Source organism: Homo sapiens, chromosome 1, assembly GCF_000001405.40.
Source record: "Homo sapiens chromosome 1, GRCh38.p14 Primary Assembly".
Taxonomy (NCBI): Eukaryota; Metazoa; Chordata; class Mammalia; order Primates; family Hominidae; genus Homo; species Homo sapiens.
In genome coordinates, this window is record NC_000001.11 from 11,033,405 (window position 1) to 11,051,713 (window position 18,309).

General features: G+C 52.1%; 1 protein-coding gene across 5 annotated transcripts in view, besides 1 other annotated feature; it reads right to left on the reverse strand.

Annotated features, from left to right (window-relative positions):
* Positions 1-13,835, reverse strand: part of MASP2 (MBL associated serine protease 2) — a 20,717-nt gene extending 6,882 nt beyond the window's left edge. Inside the window, exons 1-8 of one of the 5 annotated variants that reach the window (NM_006610.4) lie at positions 13,799-13,835; positions 13,487-13,715; positions 13,152-13,329; positions 12,004-12,135; positions 9,935-10,131; positions 9,471-9,618; positions 4,289-4,407; positions 1,424-1,502 (exon numbers count right to left, since the gene is read on the reverse strand). In NM_006610.4, coding sequence (NP_006601.2) covers positions 1,424-1,502; positions 4,289-4,407; positions 9,471-9,618; positions 9,935-10,131; positions 12,004-12,135; positions 13,152-13,329; positions 13,487-13,715; positions 13,799-13,803 — 1,087 coding nt within the window. In that variant the 5' untranslated portion in view covers positions 13,804-13,835. Of the gene's footprint in view, positions 1-1,423; positions 1,503-4,288; positions 4,484-9,470; positions 9,619-9,934; positions 10,132-11,393; positions 11,550-12,003; positions 12,136-13,151; positions 13,330-13,486; positions 13,716-13,798 lie in introns of those variants that run through there. The other 4 variants (XR_001736931.1, XM_017000097.1, XM_047439758.1 and 1 more) reach the window with 4 other exon arrangements.
* Positions 12,340-13,172: an enhancer, noted in NCBI's record as "H3K4me1 hESC enhancer chr1:11105801-11106633 (GRCh37/hg19 assembly coordinates)". NCBI's record gives its function as "activates a minimal SCP1, AML or CMV promoter by ChIP-STARR-seq in naive H9 embryonic stem cells {active_cell/tissue: H9 hESC(naive)}" and the evidence as "EXISTENCE:reporter gene assay evidence [ECO:0000049][PMID:30033119]".

The following is an 18,309-nucleotide window of genomic DNA, read 5'->3' on the forward strand; positions in this document are numbered from 1 at the left end:
GAGGCCGAGGCAGGTGGGTTGCCTGAGCTCAGGAGTTCAAGACCAGCTTGGGCAGCACGGTGAAATACCATCTCTACTAAAATACAAAAACTTAGCCAGGTGTGGCGGTGTGTGCCTGTAGTCTCAGCTACTCAGGAAGCTGAGGCAGGAGAATTGCTTGAACTCAGCAGGCAGAGGTTGCAGTGAGCCAAGATTGCACCACCGCACTCCAGCCTGGGCAACAGAGTGAGACTCCGTCTCCAAAAAGAAAAAAAAGAAAAAAATATTGTCAAAGAACACACTTTGGAAGCCTGAGGCGGGCAGATCACTTGACGTCAGGAGTTTGAGACCAGCCTGGCCAACATGGTGAAACCTCGTCTTTACCAAAAAAATACAAAAATTAGCCGTGCGTGGTGGCATGTGCCTGTAATCCTAGCTACTCAGGAGGCTGAGGCATGAGAATCTCTTGAACCCGGGAGGCAGAGGTTGCAGTGAGCCGAGATTGTCACCGCACTCCAGCCTGGGTGACAGAGTGAGACTCCGACACACACACACACACACACACACACACACACACACACACTCTCTCTCTCTCTCTCTCTCACACACTTTGGGAGGCCCAGGTGGGCAGATCACCTGAGGTCAGGAGTTCGAGATCAGCCTGGCCAACATGGTGAAACCCCATCTCTACTAAAAATACAAAAATTAGCCGGGTGTAGTGACATGTGCTGGTAGTGCCTCCCAGCTCCTGGGGGTAGCTGACGTGGGAGAATCGCTTGAACCCAGGAGACAGAGGTTGCAGTGATCTGAGATTGTACCACTGTACTCCAGCCTGGGCAACAGAATGAGACCCTTCTCAGAAAAAAAAAAAAAAAAAAACCTTGTCAAAGAACATATTTTTCTAAAGCACATACCTTCCCTAGTAGGTTGGTTCTGTTTTAACCTCTAAGAATGCACTGAGAGATGAGTAAAAAGAAGCAAATTTGAAATTCAAGGGCTGATAAATGGATCATTAAAAAAAAAAAACCAAGGATCCGGGCACAGTGGCTCACGCCTGTAATCTTAGCACTTTGGGAGGCTGAGACCGGTGGATCACTTGAGGTCAGGAGTTCGAGACCAGCCTGGGCAACATGGCAAAACTCTGTCTCTACAAATAATACAAAAATTAGCCAGGCGTGGTGTCAGGTGCCTGTGGTCCCAGCTACTCAGGAGGCTGAGGCAGGAGGATTGCTTAAGCCTGGAAAGATAGAAATTGCAGTGAGCCGAGATCACACCGCTGCACTCCAGTCTGGGCAACAGAGCAAGACCCTGTCTCAGAAAAAAAAAAAAAAGGGAAAGAAAAAAGAAAGTAAACAGAAAACCAGAGAAGCAATAGAAGCAGCAACAGTAGCAGCAGAGGGAGTTCCGGGCGGTTATGGGGCCTGTAGTCACCACACGACCGTACTGCTGCACGCGGGCATTGGCCGGTCCCAAGATCCATCTTTCTGACAAACTGCAGTAAAGGATTTCAGGGGCAAGTGACCCTAAAGAAGAATTCAGAATATATTAATTTCCTTGTTTATATCATAAAATCACTCCCCAAAGCTGTGCTCTCACAGCAGTTCCTATTCTAGTGTTTTACGAGGTGCTCCTGAAGGGGGTGGCAGCACACATGACTAGTATCTGCGTGTGCTGGGGTTGGGGGGATGCCTGGCACATGGACGCACTGCCCCACCGCCTCGGTGCACGTCTATGCCACCTAGGTTACGTATTTCATCACTCAACAGGTATTGGCATTTTATGAATCAGATGGAACCTTTGCAGCAATTTATAATTTTTTTTTTGCTTTTCACCCTAATACAAAAACATATCAGATCTCAGCCAGGTGCGGTGGCTCATGCCTGTAATCCCGACACTCCTGGAGACCAAGGCGGGTGGATCACTTGAGGTGAGGAGTTCAAGACCAGCCTGGCCAGCATGGTGAAACCCTGTCTCTACTAAAAAAATACAAAAAATTAGCCTGGCATGGTGGCGTGCACCTGTAATCCCAGCTCCTCAGGAGGTTGAGGCAGGAGAATTGCTTGAACCTGTGAGGCGGGGGTTGCAGTGAGCCGATATTGCAACACTGCACTCCAGCCTAGGTGATAGAGTGAGACCCTGTCTCAAATCATCATCATCATCATCATCATCATCATATCTCAACATTTCTGCATCTGATGTTCCACCATTTCTTTATATAAAGTGACAGAGGACCAGGCGCAGTGGTTCACACCTGTAATCCCAGCACATTGGGAGGCCGAGGTGGGAGGATTGCTTGAGCTCAGAAGTTCAAGACCAGCCTGGGCAACATAGTGAGACCCCCACCTCTACAAAAAAGACAAAAGTTAGCCGGGCGTGTTGGCGCTTGCCTGTAGTCCCAGCTACTTGGGAGGCTGGGGTGAGAGGATTGCTTGAGCCTGAGAGGTCAAGGCTGTGGTGAGCTGTGATCGTGCCACTGCACTCCAGCCTGGGTGACAAAGTGAGACCCTGTCCAAAAAAAAAAAAAAAAAAAAAAGCCAGAGGACTGTGGTGACAAGTTTGAGAAAGCAGGTGTGATCAGACTTGCAAGTGTGTCTGTGTATCTGTCTAGCTGGTGGCCATTAGCTGGAGGAGGGCTACTAAGAGTTCTTTTGTGAGCTTCGTCTGTGTGCTGTCCATCAGCTTTCACCGCCAGCGTCATTCACAGGGAAACATTTTTCGACTTGCTAAGATAATGTTTTTCTAAAATCAAACATTAAAATAAAAGAAGATGGCTTTGGCAGAAACCCTGTGCCGCAAAGGATTTCAGGTCTTCTTGTGTTAAGTCAGAAACTAAAGAAGTCGCCGGGCGCGGTGGCTCACGCCTGTAATCCCAGCACTTTGGGAGGCCGAGGCGGGTGGATCATGAGGTCAGGAGATCGAGACCATCCTGGCTAACAAGGTGAAACCCCGTCTCTACTAAAAATACAAAAAATTAGCCGGGCGCGGTGGCGGGCGCCTGTAGTCCCAGCTACTCGGGAGGCTGAGGCAGGAGAATGGCGTGAACCCGGGAAGCGGAGCTTGCAGTGAGCCGAGATTGCGCCACTGCAGTCCGCAGTCCGGCCTGGGCGACAGAGCGAGACTCCGTCTCAAAAAAAAAAAAAAAAAAAAAAAAAAACAAAAAAAAAAGAAACTAAAGAAGTCTGTGGTCCGAGGAGCTGTGGAAAAGAGCCTGCACAAGAAGTTTGCAAGGTGGGAAAAGTGTCTCTCTTTTTTTTTTTTTTTTTTTGACCCGCCACAGGACTGTGGATTGCATACCTAGCTATCGTTCCAATGTTATTACTTTTTACCACTGGGATTCCATGACAATTTTGAAGAACATAAAGAGGACGTGTTAATTTCTTACCTGTGCCCCTAAAGCAACACGCTAAGCATTTTTTAAAATTATACTCCTCCCTTAACAGTGACCACTATTTATAACTTTGCAGAATATACTCTTTCCCGGGGCTGTCTACTTTTTTGTGGGCCCAGGAGTTGTTTCATGGAAAGGTCATTTGACCAGGGGGAGAACTTTAATTTGATGCAAGACTGGGCACATGGAACAGGATAGCAAACTCATCTTTCTGTCATTCCAGCCACTTCACAAAGAGCTGCTGTCGTGTGTGACCAACAGAAAAGTTGCCCGTTTTATTTTATTTTATATATTTTTTTGAGACAGAGTCTTGCTCTGTCACCCAGGCTGGAGTGCAGTGGTGTGATTTCGGCTCACCGCAACCTGCGCCTCCCAGGCTCAAGTGATTCTCCTGCCTCAGCCACCCGAGTAGCTGGGATTACAGGCGCCCGCCACCTAATAATTTTTGTATTTTTAGTGGAGACGGGGCTACTACCTCATCTAATTTTTGTATTTTTAGTGGAGACGGGGTTTCACCACGTTGGCCAGGCTGGTCTTGAACTCCTGGCCTCAAGTGATCTGCCTGCCTCTGCCTCCCAAAGTGCTGGGAATACAGGTGTGAGCCACCGCGCCTGGCCAAGTTGCCCATTTTAATCACCAGCTTTCCAAACTAGCTTTAAAACAAAGGGCTCGCTTATGTAAATTTAAAGTTAAGTATAAAGAAAGAAAGAAAAAAGGGCGGGATTCAGAATCACATTTTCCATAGCCATCCTTTTTGTCCTCTGAAAACTTATTTCTTGGCTTTTTATCATTTAAAGATAGACAAAAGAAATCATGCTGACACACGATTTTCTCACTTTCCTTTCACATATCTGCAGATAGAAATATGTTTACATTTCAAAGCAATCGTCATTGATCGTGGTGTACTTTGTTTTAACTCACTTGCAGAAGCTCATAGCCAGTCTCGCAAAAGATGGAGAAGCTGTCTTTCAGGATGTATTTGGCTTGCACAGGTGAAACGTGGCCATTAGGTGGCGCCATCGGATAAGGGCAAGGCTGCGCTGCGCAGAGGAAACCAGGCTTGTTGGTTTTCATGTGGTCTACAGCAGCCAAGACTGAATCGAGCCATCTGAAGTTCTTAGTTTATAAAGAATACTTAACATGTAAAGAGAGCTCACCATACGTGGGGTAGGGTTCTTTAAAACCAAAGGCAAGATTAAACTCTCAGGTGCTTTTGCAAATTAAGGTTTCTTGTTTTCCCTGGGACTGAGCAAAAGGTATGTGAGAAAGCTGGGTTATGTGGGAAGATGGTGCAGTCCCCACAAATAGAACATCTGCTCCATGCCAGGAACTTCAGAGCCATGGCTCAAAACCAAGAGAGAGTGTAACTCCGAGGAAAAGAGCTCAGGGGAGGCTTTGGGACTTGCATGGGACTGGAGCTGTGTTTAAATCCTAGCTCTCCATTTCCCCATGGTTATGTGTAACCTCTCTGAGTCTCAGTTTCTTCATCTGCAAGATGGGGGGCGGTTGACGATAATAGTTGCCCCAGGGCTGTTGTGAAGATCAAATACAAAGCACCTAGGCTAGTTCTTGGCGGAGCTGTAATCAACCCTCACAGCAGCCCCATAGGACAGCTGTTATGGCATGGGGAGAAAAACCGGCTGACAGACTTGAAACTAAAGATCCAGGCTGATTTGGGGAGCCTCAGGCTTCCCCTCATGAGCTGCATTCCACTCTGGCCCCCAAACCCTGGCCTCCACTCACCCCAAGGCTTCAGTGCTCCCCAGCTGCCCCTAAAAACCCACTGGTCAGTTTCGGAGTCCTCTCCTCCCTCCAGCACCTGCTAGCATCCAGTGATCCCTGCCAAGCTGCTGGGGCAGCTGGGTGCACCTGGGTGCCCCTGACCCAGCCTGTGGCCTGGGGAAGCTCTCAGTCCCATGCAGGTCCCAAAGTCTCCCCTTGAGGAATCAATCTCCAGGGACAGCCTTGGTGGACCTGTGGAGGCCCAGGGCTTCTAGCACTTGAGTGTCTGTCACGACGAAGAGGTGGTGGAAGTTCTGGCAGGGCCTCAGAGGGCAGAGCCAGGGCCAGTGGGGGTGGTCCTGAGAGGCAGAGTGTGTAGATCCTGGCTGCAAACTGCTGAAGCTGTGGCTCTGGTGCAACACTCCATGGTCAGAACTCCTTTTTCCCCTGCCCCAACTCATACCCACACTTCAACTTCCACAGCTCCACACCCTGAAGAGTGAAGCCTCTGGGCTTTTGCACATACTCTTCTGCCACCTAGAACTCTTCTGCCACCTAGAACTCTGTCCAACACCCACTTATCCTTTAAATTCAATCTCAGCATTTCCTATTCAAGGATAGCTTCCTAGCTCCTAGCCCCTGTCTGGTGAGGTCCTCCTTTGGACTCTCACATTGCCCAGTGCTTGGCTCTAGGCTGTGCTTGCCACAGGGCTCTGGTTATGTTTCTGTGACTGTTCCCTTACTGGACTGAGCAGAGGCTGTGAGAACTGTGGCTTCCACGTTACATATCCCTAGTAGACATCCATAGGATGGAATGATGGGTGGATGGAAGGATGGTGGATGGATGGATGGATGGATGGATGGATGGATGGATGGATGGATGGATAGATTGGTGGATAGAAGGACTGGTAGGCAGAAGGATGGGTGTATGGATAGATGGCTGGCTGGATAGAAAGATAAGTAAGGTAGAAGAATGGGTGGATGGACAGATGAATGGCTGGAAGGATGGATGAAAGAATGAATGGATGAATGGATGGATGGGTGGGATCTGTAGGTAGAAGGATGGGTGGATGGATAGATGGATGGCTGGAAGGATGGATGGATGATGGATGGATGGATGGATGGATATATGGGTGGATATATAGGTGGATGGGTGGATGGATGAATGGATGCATGGATGGATGGAAGAATAGGATTGGTAGGTAGAAGGATGGGTGGGTGGATAGATGGATAGCTGGAAGGATGGATGGATGGATAGATAGAAGGATGTGTGGGTAGAAGGTCGGGTGGATGGTTGGATGAATAGAAGAATGGATAGATAGAAGGATGGGTGGATGCAAGGATGGGTGGGTGGGTAGGTAGGTGGATAGAAGGATGGATGGATGGATGGATGGATGGATGGATGGATAGATGGATGGATAGATGGATAGGATGGGTGGGTGGGTGAATGGCTGTAAGAATGGGCGGATGGGTAAATGGATGGGTGGGTGGATGAATGAGGGATAGGATTGGTAGGCAGAAGAATGGGTGGGTGGGTAGATGGACAGTTGGAAGGATGGATGGATACATAGAAGGATGTGTAGGTAGAAGGATGGGTGGATGGTTGGATGAATAGAGGAATGGATGGCTAGAAGGATGGGTGGATGGAAGGATGGGTAGGTGGGTGGGTAGATGTACAGAAGGATGGATGGATGGGGCTGGGCGCGGTGGCTCACGCCTGTAATCCCAGCACTTCGGGAGGCCAAGGCGGATGGATCACGAGGTCAAGAGATCAAGACCATTCTGTCCAACATGGTGAAACTCTGCCTCTACTAAAAATATAAAAATTAGCTGGGCATGGTGGCGCATGCCTGTAATCTCAGCTATTCTAGAGGCTGAGGCAGGAGACTTGCTTGTTCCAGGAGGCAGAGGTTGCAGTGAGCTGAGATTGTGCCACTGCACTCCAGCCTGGCAACAGAGCAAGTCTTTGTCTAAAAAAAAAAAAAAAAAAACGGATGGATGGATAGGGTGGGTGGGTGAATGGCTGAAAGAATGGGTAGATGGATGAATGGATGGGTGGGTGGATGGATGGATAGGATTGGTAGGTAGAATAATGGGTGAATGGAAAGAGGGATGGCTGAAAGGATGGATGGATGGGTATATGGATGGATGGATAGGATTGGTAGGTAAAATAATGGGTGGGTGGATAGATGGACAGCTGGAAAGATGGATGGATGGATGGATGGATGTGTAGGTAGAAGACTGGGTGGATGGGTAGATTAATAGAAGAATGGGTGGGTGGGTGGATAAAGGATGGATGGATGGATAGAAAGATGGGTAGGTAGAAGAATGAGTGGACAGATGGATGACTGGGAGAATGGGTGGGTGGATGGATGGATGGATGGATGGGTAGGTAGGTAGAAGAATGGGTGCATGGATAGGATTGGTAAGTAGAAGGATGGGTGGGTAGATAGATAGCTGGAAAGATGGATGGATGGATGGATGGATAGATAGAAGAATGTGTAGGCAGAAGGATGGGTGGATGGGTAGATGAATATGTGGATGGGTAGATGAATATAAGGATGGGTGGGTGGAAGGATGGGTGGGTAGGTGGATGGATAGAAGGATGGATAGATGGATGGATGGATGGATGGATGGATGGAAGGATGTGTTGGTAGAAGGAAGGGTAGATGGGTAGATGAATTGGATGGATGGATGGAAGGATGTGTTGGTAGAAGGAAGGGTAGATGGGTAGATGAATAGGATGGGTGGATAGAAGGATGAGTGGATGGAAGGATGGATGGGTGAGTAGATGGATAGAAGGATGGATGGATGGATAAATGGAAGGATGGGTAGGTAGAAGGATGATGGATGGATAGATAGGTGTCTGGAAGAATTGGCAGATGGATGGATGGATGGATGGATGGATGAGTGGATGGATGGATGGATGGATGGATGGATGGATTGGTAGGTAGAAGGATGGGTGGGTGCATAGATGGACAGCTGGAAGGATGGGTGGATGGGTGGATAGATAGAAGGATGTGTAGATAGACAAATGGGTGGATGGACAGATGAATAGAAGGATGAGTAGACAGAAGAATAAGTGGGTGGGTGGGTGGATGGATGGTGGATGGATGGATGGATGGATGGATGGATGGATGGATGGAATGATGGGTAGGTAGAAGGATGAGTGAATGGATAGATGGATGGCTGGAAGTATGGGTGAGTGGATGGATGGGTGAATGGATGGATGGATGGATGGGTGAAGAATGGGTGGGTGGGTGGATGGATGGAAGAATGGGTGGATGGATGGATGGATGGATAGAAGTATGTGTAGGTAGAAGGATGGGTGGATGGGTAGATGAGTAGAAGGATGGGTTGATAGAAGGATGGGTGGGTGGAAGGATGGGTGGATGGGTGGTTGGATAGAAGGATGGATGGATGGATGGAAGGATGGGTAGGTAGAAGTATAAGTGGATGGATAGGTGGAAGAATGGGTGGATGGATGAATGGATGGATGGGTGCATGGATGGATAAGTAGGTAGAACAATGGGTGGTTGGATAGATGGATGGCTGGCAGGATGAGTGGATGGGTGGATGGATAAGATTGGTAGGTAGAAGGATGGGTGGGTGGCTATATGGATAGCTGGAAGGAATGGATGGATGCATGGATACATGGATGGAAGGATGGATGGATGGATGGACAGACAGGACGATGGGTGTATGGATGGATGGATAGAAGGATATGTAGAAGGATGGGTGGATAGAAGGATGAGTGGGTAGAAGGATGGGTGGATGGGTGGATGAATAGAAGAATGGGTGGGTAGAAGGATAGGTGAATGAATAGATGGATAGCTGGAAGGATGAATGGACTGATGATAGAAGAATGGATAGTTAGAAGGATGAGTGAATGGATAGATGGATTGGATGGATGGATGGATGGATGGATGGATGGATGGATGGATGGATGAACGGACGAAGGATGGGTGGTAGAAGGATGGCTGAATAGAAGGATGGATGGATAGGATGGGTAGGTAGAAGAATGGGTGGATGGTTGTGTGGACAAAAGGATGGATGGGTGGGTGGATTGATGAATGGTTGGAAGGATGAGGGGACAGAAGGATGAGTGGACAGAAGGATGGGTGGGTAAAAGGATGAGTGGATGGGTGAATGGGTGGTTGGAAGAATGAGTGGTGGAAGGATGGCTGGGTGGCTGGCTGGAGGGAGGGACAGCGGGTGCTTCCCCTTAGAAGACTGCTGCCTCAGACCTCAGACACCACTAAACCTGGTGTCCCTTCCTAGTCCTGGCCCAGAAGGAGCCCTACACTCTACAGCTCCTTGACACTCCAGGAGAGAGGGCAGCTCTGCGCTTCCAGCCAAGATCTGAGACCCACTTGCTCACCTGTGCTCGTGTAGTGGATCTTCCAGCCTGTGTGGTCTCCTGATTCATCTGTGACAAAGGTGATGGTCACCGTGTTGCTTTTTGTTTCAATCCTGTGGGGCAATGTCTTCCCACAGAATGGGCCATGTTCTTCTCTGTCTGTTTGAATCTGAGAAAGAAGCTCATGAAAGCTGGGGAGCAGCTGCCTGGGTCTGGCCTGGGCCGGAGGGAAGTAACCCACCTCCTCAGCATTTCAGGGACAGCCAATGAGGCCAACCCAGGCCATGGATTGGGGTGCCCCTCCCCACTCTGCCTCCCACACTTGTACTCGAAGGCCCCAGCCTTGGACCTCCATAGAGCACCTGAAGAGGTGGGGGTCACCGAGGGTGACGGGAACGTGGTGGGGGCCATGCTGCAGGAAGTAGGGGGTGCAGCTGGGCTGAGGGGGAGGATCTGGGACAAGATGAGGGGCCCAGGAGCCAGACCTTGAGAAAGTCGTAGGGACACAGGGTTTCAGGGTGTGTCTCCACATCGAAGGACTCCACAAAGTCCAGAATGACACTGAACCCCTCCTCCAGGCTGATGCTGTAAGTGCAACTGGAGAGTTTGGGATACGGCCGTGGGTATTCAGGGCTGCTGAGCTCCCCAGACCTCTGGGTGAAGACCTGGCCGGAGCACAGGGCTGGAAGGAGGGAAGGCAGGGGAGTGACTTGGCGTGCCCTCTATCAGCCCTCGCACCAACAGCAGGGTGGATGCCTTGGGGAGCAGGAAACTGGGACAGGGATGTGGCTGGGACATCTGCATCCCTGGGTTGGGCTGGGCCCTGCAGGTGGCCAGCCCCTGAGGCCTACCCAGAAACCAAACGACCCACCCGATGGCTGAGGGGCCGCTTAGAGAGGGGGTTTCTCTTGCTTTGAGGCTTTAGCTGAAACAGGCAGCACTCGGGATGGAGCGCACAGGCCCTCACTCACACCCCCAGGGAGCGTGGTGGTGTCCTGAGCCAGAGTCGCAACCCCAGGGTAGGGGCTAGAGCACTGAGTTCCACCAGGCTCTGCCGGGGCGGGGGGCGGGGGTGGATGGACACACAGGAAGGAGGAAGAAGGGACACTCTCCTTGGTCCCTGGGAATTCGGGAAAAGAGAGGAGCATCTCCTCGAGCCTAAGGGCCCCTTCGGAGCTCCCCTAAATTCCCTTACAGCCACCCCAGTGATTCCCAAGTTTATTCATCAGGGGTCTCCTACCCGAACCCAGCCAAGACCAGCCAGCCCCCTGGGTTCCTGGAGGAACCATCCGGAAGAAGGGTCTCTCATCACCCCCTTTCCCCAGGTCTGACCCCTGCCCTGGGGGCTGCTCCTGGAAGTTCAAGGCAACAGTGATCATGACTGAGTCTGGTGCTCTCCTTCCTCGCTGGAACAGCTGATGCTGCTGCCACGGGCGGGGTGTTGGGCTGGGCTCTATCCCTCAAGGAAGGCTTGGTCCCCATCCCATACCACCACCCCACCCCCAGCTGCAGTGGGGGGCATTTGAGTTGTGAGGCCTCTAGGAAGTGAGGAGCCCCAACATTGCCTGCCTTCTTCCACGTGGCTGTGCCCTATGGGGCAGTGGGAATCACCCCTGGATTTGCGGGGGACCAGATTACCCCTCAATGAATATCTCCCAGGGTGTCTCCTCTGTGGGTCAGGCTCCTCCAGGCCAGACCCTGAATGGGGGTGGTTCAAGATTACTCTGGGCTCAGCCTCTGGGGACCTGGACTCGAGCGAGGCCTTGCCCCTCTCCGGGCCTCAGTGCCCCATCTTCAAAACGGGGGGTGAGGCCAAGGAGCCTGTGGCCCCATGGAGGAGGCTCCCACAGACCTGGGGTTCATGAGGCTGTGAGGAGGGTAGGCAGAGAGGAGCGCACCCCGCCGCCTCCCGACCCTCCCACCCCAGAGACACGTGGCAGCAGGTGGGGTGGGGCCAGGTTTATTATTGGGTCCATGGTGGGTGAATGGGAGTTGGGGCACAGCCATCTCAGCCCAACCCGGAGCTGAGGCCAGCAGGCTGGCTCTGGCTTCTGACCTGCTGGGCAGGCCGGAGCTCCAGGGGAGGCTAGAGGCTCTGCTCTGGAAGAGAGATCAGAGAGGCAAGGAGAGACACCGAGAGGGAGAAACCGAGTCGGGGGAGGCAGGGTCAGCGCCAGCAGGTGGGGCTGCCCACGCCCCAGAGCACTGGCCCGTCCCACAGTGCAGGGAACCAGGGAACCAGGTCCCAAGGAACGAGGGCTAGATACCCCCGACTCTCCCGTGGCTACATGAGGGGTTCCCAGAGCCCAGGTGGAACCAGGTACACAGTGGGATGTTAGAATTAGTCTCAGTCGCTAGGGCAGGGTGGCACTGATGAGCCTGGCTGCTGAGAGGGGAAGCAGGGCTGAGAAGGGGAGCTGGAGGCAGCAGGGCCTAGAAGCACCCAGTGTCCAGGGCCCAGGCCCTCCGCACCCCTGGGCAGAGCAGCAATGGCCCTGAGGAGCCCCGGGTATCCCAGGAGAGGGTGCGTTGGGGCCCAGGCAGCCTCCCTCACCTGAGCAGGTGCGCTTGTTACGGTGCAGGACGTAGCCTGCGCGGCAGGAGCAGTAGAAACCGCCCAGGTGGTTGTGGCAGTGGTGGTCGCAGGTGGGCGCCTCTCCCGGGGCCACCTGGCACTCGTCAATGTCTGGGGGAGAGGCAGGGCCAGGCAGGCCGTCAGGAGGGAAAGAGGCGGGATCCAGCCTGGACTCCTCCCAGGAGATCCATGACCTCAGAGTGGACCTCAGAGGAGGCCTCGTCCTGTCTAGGGTGCGGGACTGGTGCCGGGCCAATCACCTTACAGGCCTAGGGTCGCTGCAAGCTCCCAGCAGCGCTGGGAGAAAGATGCAAACATCACCTCTGTTAAACCAGTGGGAGTTTCAGTGTCCGGCCCGAGGTCACCCAGCTAATGAGGGGAGTCAATCAAACCCAGGGGGCGGGGCTACAGCGCTGAACCCTTGCAGCAGCTTCCTAAGGAGCAGAGAAATTGAGCCACTTGCCAGAGGTCACACAGTTGGTCTCTGCAGGGACTGGGATCTGAAATCAAACATCCTGGCAGCGCTCCCGCTGGCAGGGCCCCACTTTGTCAGCTGTAAATGGGGCCCTCGGCCCCTGCGTCGTTTTTGTTTTTTGTTTTTTGAGACGGAGTCTAGCTCTGTCGCCCAGGCTGGAGTGTAGTGGTGCAATCTCTGTTCACTGCAGCCTCCACCTCGCAGGTTCAAGCAATTCTCCTGCCTCAGCCTCCCTAGTAGCTGGGATTCCAGGTGCGCACCACCACGCCCAGCTAATTTTTGTAGTTTTAGTGGAGATAGAGTTTCACCGTGTTGCCCTGGCTGGCCTTGAACTCCTGACCTCAAATGATCAGCCAGCCTCGGCCTCCCAAAGTGCTGGAATTACAGGCGTGAGCTGCTGCGCCCGGCCAGTCCCTGCGTCACTTGAGGCGATGCTGTCCTCAGATCCCTGGCTCAGAGTTGGCACTCAGCCCATGTGAATGGAGGTCACGGCTGTTTTGGTCTTTGCATTGTGGATGATGTCAGGCCAGAGGCCTCTCCCCTGCCCTGGGAAAGGTGGGGAAACTGAAGGCAGGGCTGCCTGGCCTAAGACAGAGTTACCCCCACAGCCAGCTGCGCAGACTGAGATGTTGCAGGACCCCTCTTGGCTCACCCTCGGCTGCATAGAAGGCCTCGAACCCCGTGAACGGCTTCTCGTTGGAGTAGTCGGAGCGGAAGGTAATGTCCAGGCTGGAGCCCAGCGAGTAGAAAGTGTCCTTGCCAGGGGCCCGCTCCGTGTCTGTGCTCTCCTGCCCGCACAGCGTGGCCAGCACCTTGGCCCCCGAGCTCAGCTGTGGGGTCAGGTGTCACAGGGAGTGAAGGCAAGACCCAGGCCTGATCTCCCTCCTGGCCAAGCCTGGCCCCTGCTCCCAGGTGTCCCTGAACCCTGGCTACTCCTTGGGGACCCCCCGACCCTGAGAAACCCCAGCCCTCCCGTCCTGACGGCACCTTGACGAAGTCGTACTCGCAGAGGTGGGAGAGCTCCAGGTCGAAGTGGGTGAAGTAGAGGCGCAGGCGGTAGCCGGGGGGTGCAGTCAGGGTCCAGCGCCGCTCCTGGTCATTGGCATACTCCCCTGGAAAGCCGGGGGATGCCAGGCGCCCGAACACAGGTTCAGGCCACTTCGGGCCCAAGGGGGTGGCCACCGAGCCACACAGAAGGCCCAGGAGGGTCAGCAGCCTATGGGCAGGGCAGGGGCGGTGAGGGCCCAGGCCTGTGCTCCCACCCCACACCCTGCAGGGAGGCTGTGGGCGCCCACCTACCTCATGGTGTGCCCGTCCAGCTGGCCTGGCCTGGTCTGCAGCCCTACGCTGGTCTCACCTTTGATCTGTTTGTCCAGTGACCTGCCCCTGCCCCCAGCCTCCCTGACTCTGGGATTCTGGGAATCGACTCCATGACTCCAGCCTGCTCAGAGTTCCAGGCAGGCAGGACAGGCTGCTCTGGGAGCCAGGAGTCGGACCTAGGTAACAACAGCCTGGAAACAAATCCTGGCTCTGCCCCTCACCCCTCCCTTTTTTTTGGATCTTGTTCTGTTGCCCCGGCTTCAGTGCAGTGCTGCAATCATAGCTCACTGCAGCCTCTACTTCCTGTGTTCAAGCAATCCTCCCACCTCAGCCTCCCAAGTAGCTGGGATTACAGGCGAGCACCACCACACCTGGCTAATTTTTTATTTTTGGTAGGGATGGGGTTTCTCCATGTTGGTCAGGCTGGTCTTGAACTCCTGCCCTCAGGTGATCCACCTGCCTTAGCCTCCCAAAGTGCTGGGATTACAGGTGTGAGCCACCGTGCCCAGCCTCAGGCTGGCTAATTTCTTAAACCCTGTCAGAAGGACCTGGTGCCACCAATTCCCGATTCCCTTGCAGGCTTAGAAGTCGCTTTTGGCTGGGCTCGGTGGCTTATACCTGTAATCCCAGCACTTTGGGAGGCCAAGGTGGGTGGATCACGAGGTTGGGAGTTTGAGACCAGCCTGACCAACATGGTGAAATCCCATCTCTACTAAAAATACAAAAATCATCCAGGTGTGGCAGCGCGCACTTATAATCCCAGCTACTCGGGAGGCTGAGGCAGGAGAATTGCTTGAGCCTGGGAGGCGGAGGTTGCAGTGATCCGAGATCGCACCACTGCACTCCAGCCTGGACGACAGAGTGAGACTCCACCTCAAAAAAAAAAAAAAAAAAAAAGAAGTTGCTTTCCAGGCAGTTATTTCACACCTGTTTATCTGTTCTTCCAGCTTCCAGAACTTTGAGGCTGCTGCTTCCTCTTCCACACTCTGTCCTCATGGATTCATGTCTTGTCTTTTTTTTTTTTTTATCCCCTTTATATTTGTTTTTGTTTTTTGTAGAGATGGGGGTCTCCCTGTGTTGCCCAGGCTGGTCTTGAACTCCTGAGCCAAAGCGATGCACCTGCCTCAGCCTCGCAAAGTGCTGGGATTACAGGTGTGAGCCACCAAACCTCTGCCTCCGGGGTTCGAGCAATTCTCCTGCCTCAGCCTCCCGAGTAGCTGGGATTACAGGCATGCGCCACCACGTCCGGCTAGTTTTGTATTTTTAGTAGAGACGGAGTTTCTCCATGTTGGTCAGGCTGGTCTCGAACTCCCAACCACAGGTGATCCACCCGCCTCAGCCTCCCAAAGTGCTGGGATTACAGGCGTGAGCCACCATGCCTGGCCTATTTTCTTTTAGAGACCGGGACTCTGGCTGGGTGTAGTGACTCCTGCCCATAATCCCAGGAGGCTGGGAGGCTGAGGCAGGTGGGTCGCCTGAGACCGGGAGTTCAAGACCAGCTTGGGCAACATAGCAAGACCTTGTCTCTAAAAAAAAAAAAAATTTTTTTAAATTAGCCAGGCATGGTGGCATGCACCTTTAGTCCCAGCTACTTGGCAGGCTGAGATGGGACAATCGCTTGAGCCCAGGAGGTCTCAAGGTTGCAGTGAGCCATGTTCATGCCATTGAACTCCAGCCTGGGTGACAGAGTAAGATTTTGTCTCAAAAAATACATACATAGCAATAATAATAATGCAAGAAAATTTCCCAGAACTGAAGAACGTGATACTGATCGAAAGTGTGCCCCAAGTGCCCAGAAAAGGAGATAAAAATATTAATACAGCTTTACACATATTTAAAAACACTGGAGAGAATAATTATGTTTTACAAACAAAGAGAAAGAGAAAAATCAAATAGTAAATCACATGCAAAAGATCAGGAAAAAGAATTATTTTGGAGTTAAACCTCATCTCTACTAAAAATACAAAACTTAGCTGGGCATGGTGTTGCGTGCCTGTAATCCCAGCTACCTGGAAGGCTGAGGCAGGAGAATCGCTTGAACCTGGAGGCTGCAATGAGCCAAGATTGTGCTACTGCACTCCAGCCTGGGACACAGCGAGACTCCATCTCAAAAAAAAAAAAAAAAAAAAAAAAAAATAGACGGAGTCTCGCTCTGTCCCAGGCTGGAGGGCAGTGGTACGATCTCAGCTCATTGCAGCATCCACCTCCTGGATTCAAGCGATTCTGCTGCCTCAGCCTCCCAGGTAGCTAGGATTAGAGGCATGTGTCAACACGCCAGGCTAATTTTTGTATTTTTAGTAGAGACAGGGTTTCACCATGTTGGCCAGGCTGGTCTCGAACTCCTGACCTTGTGATCCGCCAGCCTCAGCCTCCTAAAGTGCTGGGATTACAGGCGTGAGCCACCATGTCCAGCCGAGACTCCATCTTAAAAAAAAAAAGAAAAGAAAAAGAAAGAAAGAAACTACACCTGTCTTGTGACTGCTCATTAATCTTGCCAAGGTGGAGGCCGGGCACGGTGGCTCACACCTGTAATCCCTGCACTTTGGGAGGCTGAGGTGGGTGGATCACGAGGTCAGGAGATTGAGACCATCCTGGCTAACACGGTGAAAGCCCGTCTCTACTAAAAATACAAAATTAGCCGGGTGTGGTGGTGGGCACCTGTAGTCCCAGCTACTTGGGAGGCTGAGGCAGGAGAATGGCGTGAACCCGGGAGGCGGAGCTTGCAGTGAGCCAAGCTCGCGCCACTGCACTCCAGCCTGGGTGACAGAGCAAGACTCCGTCTCAAAAAAAAAAATCTTACCAAGGTGGTGGTTCAGCCCCCGAACAGGGAAGAGAGTAGTTTTAGGGAGAACTATTATTATTCTTGTTTCAAGTTAAACTCTAAATTCCTCCGCCGGTCAGCTGGGCCTACACCCAGGAATGAGCAGGGTCAGCTTGGAGGTCAGGAGCAGGATGGGGTCGGTTATGTCATAATTTTGCAAGGGTGGTTTCAATAGGAAGACATAAGGTCCAAGAGATGCCATTCACTAAGGGACTCCATTGGGGGCGGTGAGAAGGCTCTGGACAGCTTCTCCAGAAAGGGGACGATGACAGAACACCTGTTGAGTCCAAGGAGCATTAGAGAATTGGTGAAAAATTTGGGGCCAAATTAGTGATAAATTTATTGAAAACTAAGTAAATGAGAAACAAACAAAAAAAGAACCTCCAGGGAAAACAAGAAGCTGTGTAGGAGATAAAATGTTATCATAAGGCCAGATGCGGTGGCTCACACCTGGAATCCCAGCACTTTGGTGGTTTGTTTTTTTTTTTTTTTTTTGAGATGGAGTTTTGCTCGTTGCCCAGGCTGGAGTGCAATAGCGCGATCTCGGCTCACTGCAACCTCCGCCTCCTGGGTTCCAGTGATTCTCCTGCCTCAGCCTCCCTAGTAGCTGGGATTACAGGCATGCACCACCACACCCGGCTAATTTTGTATTTTTAGTAGAGATGGGGTTTCTCCATTTGGTCAGGCTGGTCTTGAACTCTTGACACTGGGCCCAGCCTTAATCCCAGCACTTTGGGAGCCCGAGGCGGGTGGATCACTTGAGGTCAGGGGTTTGAGACCAGCATGGACGTGCCTGTAAGCCCAGCTACTCCGCCTCCCAAGTTCAAGCAATTCTCTTGCCTCAGCCTCCCCAGTAGCTGGGCTTACAGGTGCCCGCCACCACACCCGGCTAATGTTTGTACTTTTAGCAGAGACCACGTTTCACCATGTTGGTCAGGCTGGTCTTGAACTCCTGACCTCAGGTGATCCGCCCGCCTCGGCCTCCCAAAGTGCTGGGATTACAGGCATGAGCCACAGTGCCCTAACTCAAGCAATTCTTAAACAAAAGCCTGGTCAGGCGCGGTGCTACCTGACTGTCAGTTACATGGAGGCGGGCCAGAGTGCAGCCTGATCAATGCTAAATTATAACTCTATTTCTGTCCAGAATTATTCTTTTATTTTTTCTTTTGCTTTTTCCTTTTATTTTCTTTAACTGGTTTTTTTCTTTTTTTTCCTTTTTTTTTTTAAGACAGAGTCTTGCTCTGTCACCCAGGCTGGAGCGCAGTGGCGCGATCTCGGCTCACTGTAACTGTAACCGCCCAAGGGGTTCACCTTGCCAGCTGTCTAGACAGAGCTGATTCATCAAGACAGGGGAATTGCAATAGAGAAAGAGTAATTCACGCAGAGCTGGCTGTGCGGGAGACCAGAATTTTACTATTACTCAAATCAGTCTCCCCGAACATTCGGGGAGTAGAGTTTTTAAGGATAACCTGGTGGGTAGGGGGAAGCCAGTGAGCCAGGAGTGCTGACTGGTCAGAGATGAAATCACAGGCAGTCGGAGTCAGAGCTGTTTTCTTGCACTGAGTCCTGGGTGGGGGTCACAAGATCAGATGAGCCCGTTTATCCATCTGGGTGGTGCCGGCTGATCCATCAAGGCAGGATCTGCAAAATATCTCAAGCACTGATCTTA